General features: G+C 38.2%; 1 pseudogene, besides 1 other annotated feature; it reads right to left on the bottom strand.

Moving 5' to 3' along the window:
• On the bottom strand, positions 18,010-18,804 carry MMADHCP1 (MMADHC pseudogene 1; annotated as a pseudogene).
• Positions 21,964-22,707: an enhancer, noted in NCBI's record as "H3K4me1 hESC enhancer chrX:75439133-75439876 (GRCh37/hg19 assembly coordinates)". NCBI's record gives its function as "activates a minimal SCP1, AML or CMV promoter by ChIP-STARR-seq in naive H9 embryonic stem cells {active_cell/tissue: H9 hESC(naive)}" and the evidence as "EXISTENCE:reporter gene assay evidence [ECO:0000049][PMID:30033119]".

Genomic DNA, 23,089 nt, shown 5'->3' with positions numbered 1-23,089 from the left:
GTATGGATTTGTTTCTGGGTTCTATTCTGTTCCATTATTCTGTGTACCTATTTATATGCCAGTTCCATGTTGTTTTGGTTACTGTGGCTCTATAGTAGAGTTTGAAATCAGGTAATGAGAGTCCTCCAGTTTTTCTTTTTCTTTTTTTTTTTTTTTTTTTTTTTTTTTTTTTTGCTCAGGATAGCTTTGACCATTCTGGGACTTTTGTGATTCCATGGAAGCTTCAGGATTGTTTTTGCTATTATATTTCCCTGAATAATGTCATTGGTATTTTCATAGGGATTGCATTGCATCTGTAGATTGCTTTTGGTAGATGGACATTTTAACAATATTCTTCCAAAACATAAAGATAAAATATTTTTCCATTTTTCGGTGTCCTTTTAAATTATTTTCATCAGTTTTTCATAGTTTTTATTATAGAGATCTTTCACTTATTTGATTAAGTTAATTCCTAGGTATTTAATTTTAGGTGAGTCTAAATTAGATTACTTTTTTGTTTCTTTCTCACATTGTTCACTGTTGGCATATAGAAATGCTACTAATTTTTTATGTTGACGTTGTATCCTGCAACTGTACTGAAATTGTTTCAGTTCTAATAGTTTTCTTGTGGGGTCTTTAGGTTTTTTCAAATATAAGGTTATATCTTCTGCAAACGAGGATACTTTGACTTCTTCTTTTCCATTGTAGATGCCATTTATACCTGTCTGTTGTTGTTCTAGCAAGACTTTCAGTTTTTCCCCATTAAGTATGATACTAGCTGTGGGTTTTCATATATGGTTTTTATTTTCCTGATGTATGTTTTTTCTATACATACTTTTGTGAAAGTTTTTTAATCATGAAGGTATTTTGGATTTTAACAAATGCTTTTTCAGACTCAATTGAAAGGAGTATATAACTTTTTCTTCTTCATTCTGTGACATGAGGTGAGGTATCATATTGATTGTTTTGCATATGTTGAACCATCCTTTTATCAATGGGATAAATCCCACTGGATCATAATAACTGATCACTTTAATATATTTGTTTTACTAGTATCTTGCTGAAGATTTTTGCATCAGTATTCATCAATGATATTGGCATGCAGTGTCTTCTAGATAAGTCATTGTTTACTTTTGGTATTGGGGTTACACTGGCCTTTCAGACTGAGGGTGAAAGTATTCCTATTTTTTCAGAACATTTTGAGTATGATTACTACTAGTTCTTCCTTAAATGCTTGGTACAATTCAATTGAGCAGTGAAGCCATAGGATCACCAGCTTTGTTTGCTAGGGGACATTTTAGAATGGCTTCCATCTTATAACTTGCTATTGGTCTGTTCAAGTTAAGTATTTCTTCATGGTTCAATATTGATAGGCTGTATGTGTCTAGGAATTTTTTTAAGTACTGTGATACACATGCAGAAAGTGCAGGTTTGTTACATAGGTATATATGTGCCATAGTGGTTTGCTGCACCTATCAATGCATCATCTAGGTTTTAAGCCCTGCATGCATTAGGAATTTGTACTAAGGCTCTCCCTCCACTTGTCCCACACCCCCGACAGGCCCCAGTGTGTGATGCTCCTCTCCCTGTGTCCATGTGTTCTCATTGTTCAACTCCCACTTATGAGTGAGAACATGTGGTGTTTGGTTTTTTTCACGACTGCATAGTATTTCATGGTGCATATGTGCCACATTTTCTTTATCCAGTCTATCATTGATGGGCATCTGGGTTTGTTCCAAGTCTTTGCTATTGTAAATAGTACTGCAACAAACATACGTGTGGATGTGTCTTTAAAGTAAGATGATTTATAATCCTTTGGGTATATATCCAGTGATGGAATTGCTGGGTCAAATGGTATTTCTGGTCCTAGATCCTTGAGAAATCACCACACTGTCTTCCACAATGGTTGAACTAATTTACACTCCCACCAAGAGTGTAAAGGCATTCTTTTTCTCCACAGCCTCACCAAGATCTGTTGTTTCCTTCTTTTATTTATTTAATTTATTATTATTATTATTTTGAGATGGAGTCTCACTGTGTAGCCCAAGCTGAAATGCAGTGGCATGATCTCGGCTCACTACAACCTCTGCCTCCCGGGTCCTGGTTCAAGCAATTTTCCTGCCTCAGCCTCCCGAGTAGCTGAGATTTCAGGAATACACCACCATGCCCAGCTAATTTTTTCGTATTTTTAGTATAGGTGGGGTTTCACCATGTTAGCCAGGCTGGTCTTGAACTCCTGAACTCATGATCGGCCAACCTTGGCCTCCCAAAGTGCTGGGATTACAGGCCTGAGCCACCACGCCCAGCTGTTTCCTTACTTTTTAATGATCACCATTCTATCTGATGTGAGATTGTATCTCATTGTGGTTTTGATTTGCATTTCTCTAATGACCAGTGATGATTAGCCTTTTTTATATGTTTTTTGGCCACATAAATGTCTTCTTTTGAGAAGTGTATGTTCATATCCTTTGCCCACTTTTTGATGGGGTTGTTTGTTTGTTTGTTTCTTATAAATATGTTTAAATTCCTTGTAGATTCTGGATATTAACCTTTTGTCAGATGGATAGACTGCAAAACTTTTATCCTATTCTATAGGTTGCCTGTTCACTCTGCTGACAGTTTCTTTTGCTTTACGGAAGCTTTTTAGTTTAATAAGACCCCATTTGTCAGTTTTGGCTTTTGTTGTAATTGCTTTTTGTGTTTTAGTAATTAAGTCCTTGCCCATGCCTATGTCCTCAATGGTATTGCTTAGGTTTTCTTCTAGGGTTTTTATAGTTTTAGGTTTTACATTTAAGTGTTTAATCTGCCTTAAGTTAATTTTTGTATAAGTTGTAATGAAGGGATCTATTTTCAATTTTCTGCATATAGCTAGGCAGTTTTTCCAGCACTGTTTATTAAATAAACATTGCTGTTTTTGTCAGGTTTGTTGAAGATCAGATGGTTGTAGATGTGTGGTGTTATTTCTGAGGCCTATGTTCTGTTCCATTGGTCTATATATCTGCTTTGGACCAGTACCATGCTGTTTTGGTTACTGCAGCCTTGTAGTATAGTTTGAAGTCAGGTAGGGTGATGCCTCCAGATTTGCTCTTTTTGCTTAGGATTGTCTTGGCTATACAGGCTCATTTTTGTTTCCATATGAAATTTAAGGTCGTTTTTTCTGATTCTGCAAAGAAAGCCAATGATAGTTTCATGGGAATGGCATTAAATCTACAAATCACTTTGGGCAGTATGGCCATTTTTGAAATATTGATTCTTTCTATACACCAGCGTGAAATTATTTTCATTTGTTTGTGTCCTCTCTTATTTCCTTAAGCAGTGGTTTGTAGTTCTCCTAGAGGAGGTCCTTCACCGCCCTTGTAAATTGTATTCCTAGGTGTTTTATTCTCTTTGTAGCAATTGTGAATGAGAGTTCACTCATGATTTGGCTCTCTGTTTGTCTATTCCTAATGTATAGGAATGCTTGTGATTTTTGCACATTGATTTTGTATCCTGAGACTTTGCCAAAGTTGTTTATCAGCTAAAGGAGTTCTGGGGCTGCGATGACGGGGTTTTTGAAATATACAATCATGTCATCTGCAAACATAGACAATTTGACTTCCTCTCTTCCTATTTGAATACCCCTTATTTTTTTCTCTTGCCTAATTGCCCTGGCCAGAACTTCCAGTACTATGTTGAATAGGAGTGGTGTGGGAGGGCATCCTTTTCTACTGCTGGGTTTCAAAGGGAATGCTTCTAGCTTTTGCCCATTTAATATGATATTGGCTATGTGTTCATTATAAATAGGTCTTATTATTTTGAGATATGTTCCATCAATGCCTAGTTCATTGAGAGATTTTAGCATGAAAAGGTGTTGAATTTTTATCAAAGACCTTTTCTACATCTGTTGAGATAATCATGTGGTTTTTGTCATAGGTTCTGTTTATGTGATGGATTATGTTTATTGATTTGTGTATGTTGAACCAGCCTTGCATCCCAGGGATGAAGCTGACTTGATCATGGTGGATCAGCTTTTTGGTGTGCTGCTGGATTAGTTTGCCAGTATTTTACTGAGGAATTTCACATCGATGTTCATCAGAGATATTGGCCTGAAATATTTTGTTGTTGTTGTGTCTCTTCCAGGTTTTAGTATCCAGATGATGCTGGCCTCATAAAAGGAGTTAGGGCGGATTTCCTCTTTTTCTGTTGTTTGGAATAATTTCAGAAGGAATGATACAGCTCCTCTTTAGTATAATTTGGCTGTGAATCCGTCTGGTCCTGGGCTTTTTTTGGTTGGTAGGCTATTAATTACTGCCTCAATTTTAGAACTTTTTATTGGTCTCTTCAGGGATTCAACTTCTTCCTGGTTTAGTCTTGGGAGGGTGTATGTGTCCAGGAATTTATCCATTTCTCCTCAATTTTCTGGTTTGTTTGTGTAGAGGTGTTTATAGTATTCTCTGATGCTAGGCTGTATTTCTGTGGGATCAGTGATGATGTCCCTTTTATCATTTTTTATTGTGTCTATTTGATTCTTCTCTTTTCTTTTTCATTAGTCTAACTAATGGTCCATCTATTTTGTTAACCTTTTTAAAAAAAACCCGTTCCTGGATTCATGAATTTTTTGAAGGGTTTTTCCTGTCTTCATCTCCTGCAGTTCTGCTCTGATCTTAGTTATTTCTTGTCTTCTGCTAGCTTTTGAATTTGTTTGCTCTTGCTTTTCTACTTCTTTTAATGTCATGATAGGGTGTTGATTTTAGGTCTTTCCAGCTTTCTGATGTGGGCATTTAGTGCTATAAGTTTTCCTCTTAACATGGCTTTAGCTGTGTCCCAGAGATTCTGGTACATTGTGTTTTTGTTCTCACTGCTTTCAGAGAACTTTTTTATTTCGACTTTAATTTCATTATTTGCCCCTTAGTCATTCAGGAGCAGATTGTTCAGTTTTTTTGTAATTTTGTGGTTTTGGGTGAGTTTCTTAATCCTGAGTTCTAATTTGATTACATGTGGTGTGAGGGACTGTTTGTTATGATTTCCTTTTTTTTTTTTTTTGCATTTGCTAAGGAGTGTTTCAATTTCAATTATGTGGTCGATTTTAAACTACATGCTATGTGGCACTGAGAAGAATGTGTATTCTGTTTACTTGGGGGTGGAGAGTTCTGTATTTGTCTATTAGGTCCACTTGATCCAGAGCTGGGTTCAAGTCCTGAATATCCTTGTTAATTTTCTGTCTCATTGATCTAATATTGACAGTGGGGTGTTAAAGTCTTCCACTGTTATTATGTGGGAGTCTAACTCTGTTTGTAGGTCTGTAAGAACTTGTTTTACAAATCTGGGTGCTCATGTATTAAGTGCATATATATTTAGGATACTTAGCTCTTCTTGTTGAATTGATGCCTTTACCATTATGTAATGCCCTTCTTTGTCTTTTTTGATCTTTGTTGGTTTAAAGTTTGTTTTATCAGAGACCATGATTGCAAACCCTGCTTTTTTTTTTTTTTTTTTTTTTTTTGCTTTTCATTTGTATGGTAAAATTCCTATTCCTCCATCCCTTTATTTTGAGCCTATGTGTGTCTTTGCAGGTGATATATGTCTCCTGAATACAGCACATCGATTGGTCTTGACTCTTTATCTAATTTGCCAGTCCGTGTCTTTTAATTGGGGCATTTAACCCATTTACATTGAAGGTTAATATTGTTATGTGTGAATTTCATCCTGTCATCATGATGCTAGCTGCTTGTTTTGCACATTAGTTGAAGCAGTTTCTTCATAGTGTCATTGGTCTTTATATTTCGGTGTGTTTTTGCAGTGGCAGGTACTAGTTTTTCCTTTTCATATTTAGTGCTTCTTTCAAGAGCTCTTTGTACGACAGGTATGGTAGAAACAAAAATATCTTGGTATTTGCTTTTCTGGAAAGGATTTTATTTCTTCTTTGCTTATGAAGCTTAGTTTGACTGGATATGAAATTCTGGGTTGATTTCTTTTCTTTAAGAATGTTGAATATTGGCCCCAACTCTCTTCTGGCTTGTAGGGTTTCTGCAGAGAGATCCACTCTTAGTCTGATGGGCTTCCCTTTGTAGGTAACCTGACCTATCTCTCTGGCTGCCCTTAACATTTTTTCTTTCATTTAAACCTTGGAGAATCTGATGATTATGTGTCTTGGAGTTGCTCTTCTCTAGAAGTCTTAATGGTTTTCTCTGTATTTTCTGAATTTGAATGTTGGCCTATCTTGCTAGGTTGAGGAAGTTCTCCTGGGTAATACCCTGAAGTGTGTTTCCAACTTGGTTCCATTCTACCCATCACTTTCAGGTATATACATCAATCGTAGGTTTCATCTTTTCTCATAGTTTCATATTTTTTGGAGGCTTGGTTTGTTCCTTTTTATTCTTTTTTCTCTAATCTTGTCTTCATGCCTTACTTCAGTAAGTTGATCTTCAATCTCTGATATACTTTCTTCTGCTTGATGAATTCGGCTATTGATACTTGTGTATGCTTTATGAAGTTCTTGTGCTCTGTTTTTCAGCTCCATCAGGTCATTTGTGTTCCTCTCTAAACTGGTTTGTTTAGTTAGCAGTTACTGTAATCTTGTATGAAGGTTCTCAGCTTGTGTTGGTTAGGACATGCTCCTTTAGCTCAAAGGAGTTTGTTATTACCCACCTCTGAAGCCTACTTCTGTCAATTCATCAATCTCATTCTCTGTTCAGGTTTGTGCCCTTGTTGGAGAAGAGTTGCGATCATTTGGAGGAGAAGAGTCACTGTGGTTTTTGGAATTAGCATTTTTGCACTGGTCTTTCCTCATCTTCATGGATTTATTTACCTTTGGTCATTGAGGCTGATGACCTTTGGATAGGATGTTTATGTGGGGGTTCTTTTTGTTGATGTTGATGTTGTTCCTTTCTGCTTGTTAGTTTTTCTTCTAAGAGTCAGGCCCCTCTTCTGCAGGTCTGTTGAAGTTTGCTGGGGGTCCACTGTAGACCCTGTTTGCTTGGGTATCACCAGTGGAGGCTGCAGGACAGCAAAGATTGCTGCCTGCTTCTTCCTCTGGAAGCTTTGTCCCAGAGGGGCACTGACCTGATGCAGCCAGAGCTCTCTTGTATGAGGTGTCTGTCAATCTCTGTTGGGAGGTCTCTCCCATTCAGGAGACACAGGGGTCTGGGACCCACTTGGGGAGGAAGTCTGTCCCTTAGCAGAGCTTGAGTGTTATGCTGGGAGAGTCTTGTCAGGATCAGATTCTCTCTTCAGAGCCAGCAGGCAAGAATGTTTAAGTCCACAGAAGCTGCACCCACAGCTGCCCATTCCCCCAGGTGCTCTGTCCCAGGGAGATGAGAGTTTTATCTAAAAGCACCTGGCTGGGGCTCTTGCCTTTCTTTTAGAGATATCCTACTCATGAAGAAGGACTCTAGAGAGGCAGTCTGGCCACAGCTGCTTTGTCATGCTGTGATGAATTCCACCCAATCCAAACCAACAGGCCTACTTAGCACTGCCAGGGGAAAACCACCTACTAAAGCCTCAGTAATGATGAACGTCCCTCCTGTCACCAAGCTCAATCATCCCAGGTCAACTTCAGACTGCTGTGCTGGCAGTGAGAATTTCAAGCCAGCGTTTCTTAGCTTGCTGGCCTCCATGGGAGTGGGATCTGCTGAGTGAGACTGCTCGGCTCCCTGGCTTCAGCCCCCTTTCCAGGGGAGTGAATGGTTCTGCCTCAAAGGGGTTCCAGGTACCACTGGGTACAAAAATAAAATAAAATAAAAACTCTGCACTAGCTCGGTGTCTTCTCAAACAGCTGCCCAATTTTGTGCTTGAAACCCAGGGCCCTGGTGGTATAGGCACACAAGGGAATCTCCTGATCTGTGGATTGCAAAAACCGTGGGAAAAGTGTTGTACCTGGGCAGGATAGCACAGTCCCTCATGGCTACCCTTGGCTGGGGGAGGGAGCTCCCTGGCTCCTTGCACTTCCTGGGTGAGGCGATGCCCCACACTGCTTCTGCTCACCTTCCGTGCGCTGCACCCACTGTCTAACCAGTCCCAGTGAAATGAACTGGGTACCTCATTTGGAAATGCAGAAATCACCCTCCTTCTGCGTTGGTCTCGCTGGGAGCTGCATATCGGACCTGTTCCTATTCGGCCATCTTGCCAGATCTCCTCTGTGTCTAGGAATTTATCCATTTCCTCTAGATTTTCAAATGTACTGACATATAGTTGCTCATAGTAGCCACTAATGATTTCTTAAATTGCTATAGTGTAAGTTGTAATGTTTCCTTTCCATCTCTGATTATACTTATTTGGGTCTTTTCTTCTTCATTAGAATAAATTCTATACATTTTGTTTATCTATTCAAAAAAACCAACTATTCATTCTATTGATTTTTGTATTGTTTTCTTTATTTCTATTTCATTTATTTCTGCTCAATCTTTATTATTTCTTTTCTTCTACTAATTTTTGTTTTGGTTTGTTCTTGCATTTTTAATACTTTGAAATACATTGTTATTATTTTGAAGTTTTTCTACTTTTTTGATGTAGGCACTTATAGCAATAAGTATTCCTCTTTATACTGCTTTCACTATATCTGATGCAGTGGTTTTGGTATGTTGTGTTTCCATTTTCATTTGTTTCAATAGTTTTAAAAATTTTCATCTTAATTTCTTTATGACCCATTCATCATTCAAGAGCGTGTTGCTTAATTTCCAAGTGTTTGCATAGTTTTCAAAATTCCTCTTGTGCTCGATTTCTAGTTTTATTTCACTGTGGTCAGAGAAAATGCTTGATATTATTTCATTTTTGAAATGGTTTAAGAGTTTTGTTGTGACCTAATATATGGTCCTTCCATGAGAATAATCCCCCTACTGAGAAGAAGAATGTGTATTCTGCAGCCATTGAAAAAAATGTTCTGTAAGTATCTATTACATCTATTTGTTCTATAGTGCAAATTAAGTCTGATATATCTTTCAAATTTTCTTTCTGGAAGATCAGTCCAATGCTGAAAGTGGGATGTTGAGGTCTCCAGCTATTGTTGTAGTGGTGTCTATCCCTCTCTTTAGCTCTAATAATGTTTGCTTTATATATCTAGGTGCTCTATTATCAAATGCATATATATTTCCAATTAGTTTTTTTGCTGAATTGACCTGTTCATCATTATATAATGACCTTATTTATCTCTTCTTACAATTTTTGTCTTGAAATAAATTTTGCCTGATATAAATATACTTACTCCTGCATTTCTTTTTGTTTCAATTGCCATGAAATATCTTTTTCCATTCTTTTATTTTAAATCTACGTAAAGCTTTATAAGTAAAGTGTGTCTCTTTTTGTCAACAGATGATAGGTTCTTGTTTTTTATCCATTCATCCAGTCTATGTTTTTGGAGAGTTTAGTCAATTTACATGTAGTGTTATTATTGATAGTAAGGGTTTACTTCTGCCATTTTTCATTTGTTTTCTGTTGTTTTGAAGCTTCCTCTTCTTTTCTTTCTTCCTGTCTTTCTTTTAGTGAAGGTGATTTTGTATGGTGGTATGATATACATTTTTGCTATTTGTTTTCTTATGTATCAACTGTTTATTTTTCAATATGAGGTTACCTTGAGGCTTCCAAATATTATCTTGTATCCCATCATTTTAAATTGATGACAACTTACCACTTATTGTCTAAACCACACACACACACACACACACACACACACACACAAATAAAACTAATGGAAACTCTACACTTTAATATCATTCCCCCACTTTTTAATTATTTGTTGTTTTCTTTTATATCTCATTGTATTCTCTATGTTGGAAAAACTGTATTTATTATTTTGAATTGGTTCATTATTTAGTATTTCTACTTAAGATAACAGTAGTTTACACACCACAATGACTGTGTTATACTATTGCTGGGGTTCACCTGGAACCAGATTCAGTTGTAGTGGGCCTGGTGTCTGGGGCTGCAGGGGCTGATGTGGAACATGGATTTACAGATGTGGTTCTGGAACCTCAGCTAATACTTCTCTTAAAATTCTAATAATTAAATTGATTAGAAAAACTACATGAAAAGCCCATTTAAAGATCAGTGAGTATATGCAAAGTTTTTTATGGCAAAAATGGTTTTTCAGTTGAGTGGAAAAATAATGGATTGTACAATAAATAAGATTAGAAACTGTGCTACCTATATGGAAAAATAAAACTAGATTTCTATTTGGTAACACATATATAATTGAATCTTTTCTAGATTAGGAATTTGAGTATACAAGATTTTTAAATAAATGGCAAGAAGTCATAAAAATTATAATGTTGCATCAAGATAGTCTTTGATAAGAAGCAGCACATGGGAAAAACAAAAGATAAGATTGAGAAATAATGTTATAATATTGGGTGCTGAAAAGAGAAGAATTAAGTTTTTAGTAATGCCAGAGTAGCTTGTATAGAAATGACCTGCCCACAGATAAACATTATAAAATCTGCACAAAGTATACTCTTGAAATGACAGCAACTCCAGTGGAACTGGAGAGCTACCAGAGCAAGCAGAAACTGGAGAGGAGTCAATAGCAAAGAAGTAAAGAGGATACAAATTTATGTTTAGAGAGACTTTTGCTTTTTGCTTGAGGGCATATCCCAGCCCCTGTGGCCCAAAATACCTATAACTCCATTACAAAACTGCAATGATGGAACCTGTGGCTACTATGGTGGTTGAAAAGTGACATAGTAAAATCCCAGAAAATAAGAACCCACCATAAAGTCAAATATTAAATAAGCCTGTCATGGACTTCACAACTTAGGACCTGAGAGCCAACTCTTTGAAGTATAAAATAATACCTGATCTCTCAGTCTTCTGGGAGATAATGGGCCTAATTTTAGCTGTCACCTGACTCCAAACTGCAAGCTCTACTTATATGATAAAAATAGTATAAAACTAGCAATTTTATTTTGAAAGCATGAATGTAATGGGTTGTATCCACTTTGCTATATACAAGTAAGTTTTCATTCTGTCTTCAGTATCTCAAGTGAATTGCCTTATATGTGTATCACAGCCTGGTTTAATGCTTATTTAATTTTAAAAAGTGTTCTTTTTTTCTACCTTTGTGAAGAGGTTTTCAGATTGAGGGCAAGTTTTGTTTTAAATTATGTATTTCCCAAAATTTTAGTGATGAGGATGAGATTGGCAGTCGTTGAATTTAGCAGACCAATTGAAAGTTTTGTGATTCCATAAAAGTCAGGTAGAGCCTTAATTGTATATATTAAAAAATCTCCCTTCTATTTCCATACTTTTTAGAATACTAGCTGAATAAATTGACCCTTCCAAATTCAGTATATTGCTATTGAAAAAGCATGGTAAAATAGCCTTTAAAATCTCATCAAGGTCATCACTAGTTTTGATCATGGAAAAGTACTGGAAGCCAGAAAGGTTACTTCCAGTTATTTCTGTTTAAGAACTAAAATATCTCTGTCCTGGTTGGAATGAGTATACATGTGATAATCTAGTCTTGTAATGGCCCAAGAATAGTTCTTTTGATTGGTATAAATTGACATATTTGTGGAGGTTCTTGGCAGGGTCTCATTTCAAGTAAATAAATTACTAGTATTTATGGTATTGCTACCATTCTAAGAGTGAAGTTAAAAATCATTTGGATAGCCAGAAAATAGTTAAAGGAAATGGAAAATATATATGAAAATTAAAGGCACCTTGTCTTTTAAAAAAAACCCTTTCTACTTTTTTCTGCCATTTCTTCTCTCTATGATGTCCTTGCATTAATCTGACTACTTTAAAAAAATAGAGAGATGCTAATATTTCAGATGGCTACTTCATTAGTGGATTTCCCTGAAAAAAAAAATAAATGAGGGCACAAACTGTTTCATTGGTAGTACATTTTCTGCTCTGTATGAGGACATGGGTTTGTGTGCTTTATGACCTAGCCAAGTCCACTTCATATCTGAGCCCAGATTCCACATCCAAGAGTCTGTTCTCATTCACACACCATACAGCTAGGAAAACAGACATAAAAAAATAAACATGACCACAGAATAATTGATAATTTGAAGATCAGGCTGTGTCTTCATATATAGGCAGAATGATGGAGAGTATTTTTATTAGTCACTTGAAAAAAAGAGAAAAAAGGTATTAGACTGCTCACTAATACAGAAAAGGGGACAAAAGTGCCATATAACTCTATATTTTTTCTTTCTCTAGACAAAAAATAAATCAATCCGTTATATTCAGATCACCAACAAAGCTTATGCCATTGAGAGGTTACCCACACCCATCGGGGGTAAATTAATTAAGAATACACATGTGTGGCCAGGCACGGTGGCTCATATTTGTAATCCCCGCACTTTAAGAGGCCGAGGTGGGTGGACCATTTGAGGTCAGAAGTTTGAGACCAGCCTGGCCAACATGATAAAACCCAATCTCTACTAAAAAATAAAAAAATAAAAAATAGCCTGGCGTGGTGGCAGGTGCCTATAATCCCTGCTACTTGGGAGGCTGAGGCAAGATAATCACTTGAACCCAGGAAGCAGAGGTTGCAGTGAGCCAAGATCATGTCACTGCACTCCACTCCAGCCTGGTCAACAGAGCGAGACTCTGTCTCAAAAAAAAAAAAAAAAAGAAAACAAAAGAAAAGAAAAAGAATATACATGCTTTTCTCACTGGTTGGTATCAATTATCTAAAGACTTCTTTTTCTGTGACCTGGAAGACTCATAGAAGTTTGCAGAAATACTGCACAGCATGTTTTGTGTTTACAGACCCAAGCATGGTTGCTTACACTGGTTGTTGTAGAAGATTTTGCAATCAGCAGACTTTCTAGCAACAAGTAGACAGTCTAAAAATAGGTCCCCTACATGAAAAGTCACTGTGACCAAGAGAGGGCTATTATCCACCACCACCTACAACTACAGAAGAATTAAGTGCACTAGCAGCCCACTGAAGGGATTTCTTGGTGACTTTACTTGAAGGCTTTCTACAAAGGTGAGCTAGAAAATGTTACAGCATTGTACCCAGAAAAGGGCGAGTGCCTCCACTGATTTCTATAAGTGGTTTGTTGAGGCTTTTTGAAAAATCACTGGCATGGACAGAGTTGAGGACCAAAACTGCACTCTAGTCTTAGCAAACTGAGTATTGGCTATCTTGACAACTATCCAAACCCAGGTTGAGTAAAAAATGGCAGTATGACAAGGACAGACTATTGCTCAGCAGCTATTCAGTTTGGGGACAATCTAGAGAAATATAAAGAAGAAATGCAAAACTACTGTTTTAACCACTCAATTAGAACATTTTACTAACAGAAGTAATTCCTATATTTGTCAATATATAAAGGGAGAAAGGAAAGAAAACTATATGTTATTTTTAAAAAAAGAACATTTTAGGAAAATCTATAGATAAAAATACCACAGGATGAATAAATTTCAGGAATAAGAAAATCAGTAAAGCCAATAGAAGGATAAAACCCTCAGCTAAGAAAACTTTACAATTGGCTCTAAACTGATAGATTTAAAAATCTTGGAAATAAAAACTGGTGAATCATATGTCTCAATAACTTTTCCTTATGTTAATATATCTTTTTTGGATAGACACTTGTGGTACTTACTCTGCAATTTCCATGGAAATGTAGGTTAATATATCTTTTTTGGATAGACACTGGTGGTACTTACTCTGCAATTTCCATGGAAATGTCTTGTTTTCCATCTGGCAACAGATCAATAGAGGTTGCTAGTATTTCAGGTCAACATTATACTTGTTCCATTTTCTCCATGGTTCACACAAATATAAGTATATTGCTTAGGGCAGTAAAAATATTTTAACAATATTAATACTTCTGGTTCATGAACACACAGTAACTTTTCATCTATTTGTGTCATCTTCAATTTTTTTCACAAAGTTTTATAGTTTTATGTGTACAAGTCTTTCACCACCTTGGTTAAATTTATTCCAACATATTTTATGCTATTTTAAATAAGATTGTTTCATTAAATTCTTTCTTATGTATAGAAATGCTACTAATTTTTGTATGTTAATTGTGTTGCTTATAACTTTACTTAATTTATCAGCTCTAACAATGTTTTAGTGGAGTCTTTAGGATTTTCCAACTATAAGATCATGTCATCTGCAAACAATGATAATTTGACTTCATTTCAAACTTGGATGAACTTTATTTTATTCTCTTGCTTGATTGCTCTGGTTTGTATTTCTGGTATTACATTGGATAAAAGAGATGAGAAAAATCATCTTTGCCTAGTACTAAATCTGAGAATAAAAACTTTCAGATATTTCTTATTATCATGATAGAAAGGATGTTAAATTTTGTCAAATGCTTTTATGTAGAGACATCACCAAAATGGTAGAGTAGAAGCTAGCAGGCTTCTCTCCCCACTACCAGAAAATCAAAACCAAATATGCAGTGCCAAGCTTATCAACAGCAAAATTCCAGAACTCAAATATGAGGATAAAATAGATGTTGTGGTCAAGTAGAAGTGAAAAAACTTCATACAGATAGTAAGATAATTGAATATAGCTCTGATGCCCATCCTACATTCTGCCAGACACCAAGCATCCAGAAAATTTTCCCATAACTCAGTTACTATACTAGAAAAAAGTGAAATTGATGTTGACAATGAGCTTCCCTGCAATGTTGGGATCCTAAAGATTTGTTTCCACCTCAATCCACAGAAAACATTGCAAGTACCTGAAGGGAGAAAAAATCCTGAAAACAGCCAAAGAAAAATGGTGAAAGCAGGACCTGCTCTGTTTCTAGGCCAAAAGAGAGGTCAAATCAGAATGGCTGTTCAGTGCACCGTACTGTAAGAAGTGCATTCCACATGTGCCCTGGGTGCAAACCTCTAACCAGACTTCCCACACTGCTTTCATATGCCCTTTGGAGCCTTCCCCATCTGGGACCAGTAGCTGGGCCATTTACTAGAACCCAGACAAACTTGGGCATAAGGGGTCATCTAGTGCCAAATAGGAGGCAATGACCTAGCAAAAAAGTATATTCCAAAGTTATATTGCAAATAAATATCAAAGTAAACATTTACAATAGAAATTTAAACAAGCCAGGGAGAGAAGGGTAGTAACTAATCCTTCAGTGTGAAGATGCAGACATATGTACAAAAGAAACAATAGCAATCAGGGAACCATGACCTCCCCAAAGAGACAAAGCAAGGAGTCAGTGACCAATTATAATGAAATGGCAATAGGAAAGTTCCCTGATCAAGAATTTAAAACAGCTGTTTTTACCTATTTGGCACTATGCTCACTACCTGGGTGATGCTAACACCTGTATCCCAAGCCTCAGCATTATGCAATATACTCATGTCACAAAACTGTACATGTACCCCCTGAATGCACAAAGTTGAATTTTAAAAAAACACAAAATACAAAATAAAAGTTTTAAGAAAACTCAGCATTATATGTAACACAAAAAAGCAACTCAGAGATTTACTAGAGAAATGTAACAAAGATATTAAAATATTTTGTTAAAACTCAAACAAAAATCCTAGAACTGAAAAATTCGTTTGCTGAAGTGAAAAACTTATTAGGGGCTCTCAACAGCAGAATGGGTCAAGCAGAGAAAATAATCAGTTAGCTGAAAGACAGACTATTTGAAAATACACTGTCAGACTTCTCAAAAGAAGACATTTATGCAGCCAACAGACACATGAAAAAATGCTCATCATCACTGGCCATCAGAGAAATGCAAATCAAAACCACAATGAGATACCATCTCACACCAGTTAGAATGGCGATCATTAAAAAGTCAGGAAACAACAGATGCTGGAGAGGATGTGGAGAAATAGGAACGCTTTTACACTGTTGCTGGGACTGTAAACTAGTTCAACCCTTGTGGAAATCAGTGTGGCAATTCCTCAAGGATCTAGAACTAGAAATACCATTTGACCCAGTGATCCCATTACTGGGTATATACCCGAAGGATTATAAATCATGCTACTATAAAGACACATGCACACGTATGTTTATTGTGGCACTATTCACAATAGCAAAAACTTGGAACCAACCCAAATGTCCATCAATAATAGACTGGATTAAGAAAATGTGGCACATATACACTATGGAATACTATGCAGCCATAAAAAAGGATGAGTTCATATCCTTTGCAGGGACATGGATGAAGCTCGAAACCATCATTCTGAGCAAACTATTGCAAGGACAGAAAACCAAACACCGCATGTTCTCACTAATGGGTGAGAATTGAACAATGAGAACACTTGGACACATGGTGGGGGACATCACACACGGGGGCCTGTCATGGGGTGGGGGTTGGGGGAGTGATAACATTAGGAGAAATACCTAAAGTAAATGACAAGTTAATGAGTGCAGCAAACCAACATGGCACATGTATACCTATGTAACAAACCTGCATGTTGTACACATGTACCCTAGAACTTAAAGTATAATGATAAAAAAAGAAAATGAAAAATACACAGTCAGAAAAGAAAAAACAAAAAAAGAAACTAAATAAAAAATGCCTACCAGATATATAAAATTACCTCAAAATAGAAAATCTAAGAATTATTGATGTTCAATAGGGATCTGAGCAAGAGCAAGGAGTAGAAACCTCATACAAAGAAATAAAAAAAAAGAAAACTTAAAAACTTGAGGAAGATATAAATGTCCAGATACAGGAAGTCTGAGAACAGCACAGAGCACAGAGATTCAACCCAAATACAACTACAACAACATAATAATCAGACTGTCAAAGGTCAAGGACAAAGAGAGGATTCTAAAAGGAGCAAGAGAAAAAAAGCAAATAACATACAAAAAAGCTCCAATTCATCTGGAGCTCATTTTCATCTGGATTTTATTTTTAGTGAAAATCATATAGGACTGGAGGGAGTGGGATGACATATTCAAGTGTCTAAAAGAAAAAAACTACCAACCAAGAGTTCTTTACCCAGCAAAACTCTTCTGCAAACATGAAGGAGAAATAAAGTATTTTCCAGATAAGCAAAAGCTGACAGAATTTATCACCACCAGAACCAACTTACAAAACATGGCGAAGGGAGTTCTTCAATCTGAAAGAAAATAAAAACAGTAACATGCAAAATGAAAACATTTAAAGGTATAAAACCCACTAGTAAAAGTAAATACATAGCAAAATAAAAATACTTTAACACTGCCATTGTGGTTTGCAATCCACTAACTTGAACCTGGGAGGCAGAAATTGCAGTGAGCTGAGATCACACTACTGCACTACAGCCTGGGTGACACAGTGAGATTCTATCTAAAAAAAAAAAAAAAGACAAAAAATTTTGAAGACAGTGAAGGTGAAAGGCCACATACACATAGGCTGAAATAGATGGAAAAAGATATTCCTTGAAAATGGTAAACAAAAGACAGCTGAGTTGGCTATATTCATATCAGATAAAATAGACTTTCAGTCAAAAACTGTTGCAAGAGACAAAGGTCACTACATAATGACAAATAAGTCAATTTGTTTAGAAGATATAACAATAGCATGTATGTATGCACCAAATATGAGAACACCTAAATATATAAAGCAAATAATAAACGCGAAGGGAGAAATAGACAGCAATACAATAACAGAAAGGGACTTCAATACCCCACTGTCAAAAATAGACAGATCATGCAGACAGAAAATCAATATGTAACATTGGGCTTGAACTATAGACCACATAGTCCCAACATACATATTAAGATCATTCCATTCAATAGTTGCAGAATATACATTCTCAAATGCACTTAGAACATGCTCCAGGATAGATCATATATTAGGCCACAACACAGTTTAAGATTCATAAAATTGTTTGTTTGTTTGTTTGTTTGTTTGAGACGGAGTCTTGCTCTGTCACCCAGGCTGGAGTGCAATGCTGTGATCTCGGCTCACCACAATCTCCACCTCCCGGGTTCAAGCTATTCTCCTGCCTCAGTCTTCCAAGTAGCTGGGATTATGGGTGCCTGCCACCACACCTGGCTAATTTTTGTATGTTTAGAAGAGAAAGGGTTTCATTGTATTGGCCAGGCTGGTGTTGAACTCCTGACCTCAAGTGATCCACTTGCCTCCCAAAGTGCTGGGATTACAGTCATGAGCCACCATATCCAGCCATCAATAACCAAATGTGTGATTTTTTTTGATAAAAATAATTAAAATGAGGGTTTTTTCCAATAAAGAAGAGAAATAACAATAACAGATTATATCCTGGTTACAAGCTAATTACCACATCCTATACAATGTGGTTGTGCTCAACATGTAGTCAATGATAATATGAATAATGAACATTTGAAATTTTAAAATCCCATTATTACTTGTCAATGTTGTAAATTCATAAATGTTGAAATAAATACTTACAAATAAGTATCTTTTAGAGACTTTAGTTTGACAGTGCCTATATATTAACCCCAAGGTTACATAAAAATAGTACAGCTAATGAATTAATATTACTGCTAATTTCCCCTTAATTTCTCTATAATATGGCTGTCTGGTGTTGCATTAGTGAACATACTTCCGACAAATACATCGGTGCCCCAGAGACTATGATAAATCGCTTCACATTATCCAAGATCATCAACAGATAATCCTAAATGTTAGTAGCTTTCATCTGTTTTAAAAAGAGGGTTGTTTATACATGGTCCAAAAAATGCCAAACCAATTAATTCAGCCCACTATCCTCAGCTTGAAGTGCATAGCAAATTTCTTTAGCACTATTGATAAACTTTTCCAAGAGCGTTTCTCTTTCAATTTCTACTTCTTCATGTCAAACTATCATATCATTCTTGGTTTTGTGGTGTTATAGTCAGAATCATTAGTTTGCTATTAGCCACTTCTGGAAATAATGATTCAAAATCTCTTCACAGCAATTCTGGACATGCTTGGGTTGCACACTCTACTCTGGCACTTTCAAAGTGAAAGACTGGTTTGGACCATGTGGGAAAATGAAGGTTGGACATGTCTCATTACACCCTTCCAGCATTAACATTAACACAAGCCTTTAGTCTGATTAAAAACATTTACAGTCTATTCTCTCTAAAGCCTGCTACTTGGAGGCTTCATCTACATGATAAAACCTAGGTCTCCACAACCCCTTATCATAATCAGACATTTCTTTCTACTAATAATAACTCTTTCAACCAATTGCCAATCATAATAAGTTTAAATATACTTATGGTCTACCTATGGGCCTGTAATCTGAGCTACTCGGGAGGCTGAGGCAGGAGAATCACTTGAACCTGTGAGGCGGAGGTTGCAATTAGCTGAGATCATGCCACTGCACTCAAGTCTGGGTGACAGAGCAAGACTCCATTAAAAAAAAAAATCTAATCGAAGAAATAAAAACCACTAAAGTATCTAAACCAGAAGGACTTGAGAACATTGGATCATGACGAAGGGGAGGCAGGACTAGATTGCCCTCCAGACAGAGCAGCATGCAGAGTCTCACATTGTGAATTTTAGCAAGAACAATCCAGCAATCCTGACAGGACTCACAAACCCTCTGAAGGAAGTAGACTGCTCCTGCTGGACCCAGGAGGTGCCCCAAATACTGTGAGTGCTCCATCTGCAGAAGTGGGAAACTTCTCTCCCAAACACATCCACCCACAGGAGAAACTAAAGGTCTGTTTGTGGGAGATGTTTCCGACCTCACCTGGAGCTGAGTCAATTTAGAGAGCCAAGTGAAACTCAGGGGTAGAGGAAGCAGTGGAAAGGCCCTTGAAGCTAGCTGGGTCCCCAGGCAGGCCATTCCTGCCTGGCACCACAGAGATCCATCAGGAGGGTGGCCAGAGAAGCAGGGAGCAAAACTTCACAGGGAGAAGGAAGTATCCAGCTGAAATTTGTAACAACTTGAACAAAGCAAGAAGCCTCCTGACCAGAACTCAGGGGAGGGCACAAATCCAGTGTGCAGACTACACAGGTAGGAGAAGAACTAAGCCGTTTTTCTTTTCTTTTCTTTTCTTTTCTTTTCTTCTCTTTTTTTTTCTTTTTTTTCTTTTTTTCTTTTTTCTTTTTTTTTTTTTTTTTTTTTTGCAGCTGGGAAGTGGGTACCCTGGGGTAAGTTTTCAAGGCTGTCTTGCCCACCACCTAGAAACAGACTCGGGAGCTGTTGGGGGTTCACGGTGAAAGTCAGTCTGGTCCTTCAGTTTGCATGGGAGCTGGATGAGGCCTGAGACTGCCAGCTTTCCCTCACTTCCCTGACAACCTGCAGGACTCAGCCGAGGCAGCCATAATCTTCCTAGGTACACAAATCCAGACCTTGGAATCTCATCCACATCTCCCACAGCAGCTGCGTCAAGACCTGACTGAAAAAAGAATCTGAGCTCAGACATGCCTACCCCTGTCTCCACCTCCTGGTCTTTCCCTACCCACCCTGGTAGCAGTAGACAAAGGGAATATAAATCTTAAAAGTTCTAGGGCCCTGCCCACCACCAGTCCCTCTCCATACCACTACAGCTCATGCTATCTGGAAAGCACCACCTCCCGGCAGGAGGCAAATCAGCACATAATAGAGCATTAAACCACCAAAGGTAGGAAAGCTCATGAAGTCCATTGCACCCGCCCACCACCTCCACAGGAAAAGGCACTTGTATCCATGGCTGAGAGACCCATAGTCAGTTCACCACACAGAACTTTGTGCAGACAACCCCCAGTACCAGCCCTGAGCCAGGTAGACTCACAGGGTGGCTAGACCCAGAAGAAATGCAACAATCAATGCAGTTTGACTAACAGGAAGCCACATCCATAGGAAGAGGGGAAAAGTACTACATCAAGGGAAAAACCAATGGGACAAAAGAATCTGAACAACAGCTTTCATCCTTAGATCTTCCTTCTGACAGCGCCTACCCAAATGAGAAGGAACCGGAAAACCAACTATGTTAATATGACTAGTTGACCAGCAACAGATCCAAACCAAGAAGAAATCCCTGATTTATCTGAAAAAAAAAAAAAAAAATTCAGGAGGTTAGTCATTAAGCTAATAAGGTAGGCACCAGAGAAAGGCAAAGCCCAATGAAAGAAAATCCAAGAAACAATACAAGAAGTGAAGAAAGAAATATTTTAAAAAAAGATAGCTTAAATTAGAAACAATCAAAAATTCAGGAAAGTTTGGACACACTTTTAAAAATACAAAATGCTCTGGAAACTCTCCGCAATAGAATTGAACAAAGAAGAAAGAAATTCAGAGCTCAAAGACAAGGTCTTTGAATTAACCCAATCCAACAAAGACAAAGAAAAAAGAATAAGAAAATATGTACAAAGCCTCGAAGAAGTCTGGCATTATGTTAAATGACCAAACCTAATAATAATTGGTGTTCCTGAGGAAGAGGATTCTAAAAACTTGGTAAACATAGTTGGGGAAATAATAAAGGAAACCTTCCCTGGTGTTGCTAGAGGCCTAGACATCCAAATACAAGAAGCACAAAGAACACCTGAAAATTTCAGAACAAAAACATCATGCCTAGGCACATTGTCATCAGGTTATCCAAAATGAAGACAAAGGAAAAAATCTTAAGAGCTGTGAGACAGAAGCACCAGGTAACCTATAAAGAAAAACTAACAGCAGAGTTCTCAGCAGATACTCTACAAGCTAGAAGGGATTGGAGACCTATCTTTAGCCTCCTCTAACAAAACAATTATAAGCCAAGAATTTTGTATTCAGTGAAACTAAGCATCATATATGAAGGAAAGATATAGTCTTTTTCAGACAAATAAATGCTGAGTGAATTCGCCATTACCAAGCCACCACTACAAGAACTGCTAAAAGGAGCTTAGATCTTGAAAATAATCCTGGAGATATATCAAAACTGAGCCTCTTTAAAGCATAAATGACACAGGACCTATAAAACAAGTATACAAGTTAAAAAGCAAAAACAATACACACAAAAAAGTACACAGGCAACAAAGAGCACAATGAATGCAATTGTACCTCACATTTCAATACTAACACTGAATGCAAATGGCCTAAATGCTCCACTTAAATGATACAGAACCACAGAGCAGATACAAACTCAACACCTAACTATCTGCTGCCTTCAGGAGACTCACCTAACACATAAGGACTCACAAAAACTTAAAGTAAAAGGGTGGAAAAAGGCATGTCATGCAAATGGACACCAAAAGTGATCAGAGGTAGCTATTCTTATATAACACAAAACAAACATTAAAGCAACAGCAGTTTAAAAAGATAAAGAGGGACATTATGTAATAGTAAAAGGCCTTGTCCTACAGGAAAATATTACAATCCTAAACATATATGCACCTCACATTGGAGCTCCCAAATTAATAAAACTGTTACTAATAGACCTAAGAAATGAGACAGACAGCTCTCCCTCTCCCTCTCCCTCTCCCTCTCCCCACGGTCTCCCTCTCATGCGGAGCCGAAGCTGGACTGTACTGCTGCCATCTCGGCTCACTGCAACCTCCCTGCCTGATTCTCCTGCCTCAGCCTGCCCAGTGCCTGCGATTGCAGGCTCACGCCACCACGCCTGACTGGTTTTGGTGGAGACGGGGTTTCGCTGTGTTGGCCGGGCCGGTCTCCAGCCCCTAACCACGAGTGATCCGCCAACCTCGGCCTCCCGAGGTGCCGGGATTGCAGACGGAGTCTCGTTCACTCAGTGCTCAATGGTGCCCAGGCTGGAGTGCAGTGGCGTGATCTCGGCTCACTACAACCTACACCTCCCAGCCGCCTGCCTTGGCCTCCCAAAGTGCCGAGATTGCAGCCTCTGCCCGGCTGCCACCCCGTCTGGGAAGTGAGGAGTGTCTCTGCCTGGCCGCCCATCGTCTGGGATGTGAGGAGCCCCTCTGCCTGGCTGCCCAGTCTGGAAGGTGGGGAGCGTCTCCGCCCGGCCGCCATCCCATCTAGGAAGTGAGGAGCGCCTCTTCCCAGCCGCCATCACATCTAGGAAGTGAGGAGCGTCTCTGCCCAGCCGCCCATCGTCTGAGATGTGGGGAGCGCCTCTGCCCCGCCGCCCCATCTGGGATGTGAGGAGCGCCTCTGCCCGGCCGAGACCCCACCTGGGAGGTGAGGAGCGTCTCTGCCCGGCCGCCCCATCTGAGAAGTGAGGAGACCCTCTGCCTGGCAACCACCTCGTCTGAGAAGTGAGGAGCCCCTCCGCCCGGCAGCTGCCCCGTCTGAGAAGTGAGGAGCCTCTCCGCCCGGCAGCCACCCCATCTGGGAAGTGAGGAGCGTCTCCGCCCGGCAG

Source organism: Homo sapiens, chromosome X (genome assembly GCF_000001405.40).
Source record: "Homo sapiens chromosome X, GRCh38.p14 Primary Assembly".
Classification (NCBI taxonomy): domain Eukaryota; kingdom Metazoa; phylum Chordata; class Mammalia; order Primates; family Hominidae; genus Homo; species Homo sapiens.
Note: the sequence above shows the minus strand (reverse complement) of the source record. Positions and strands in the feature narration are given on the sequence as shown.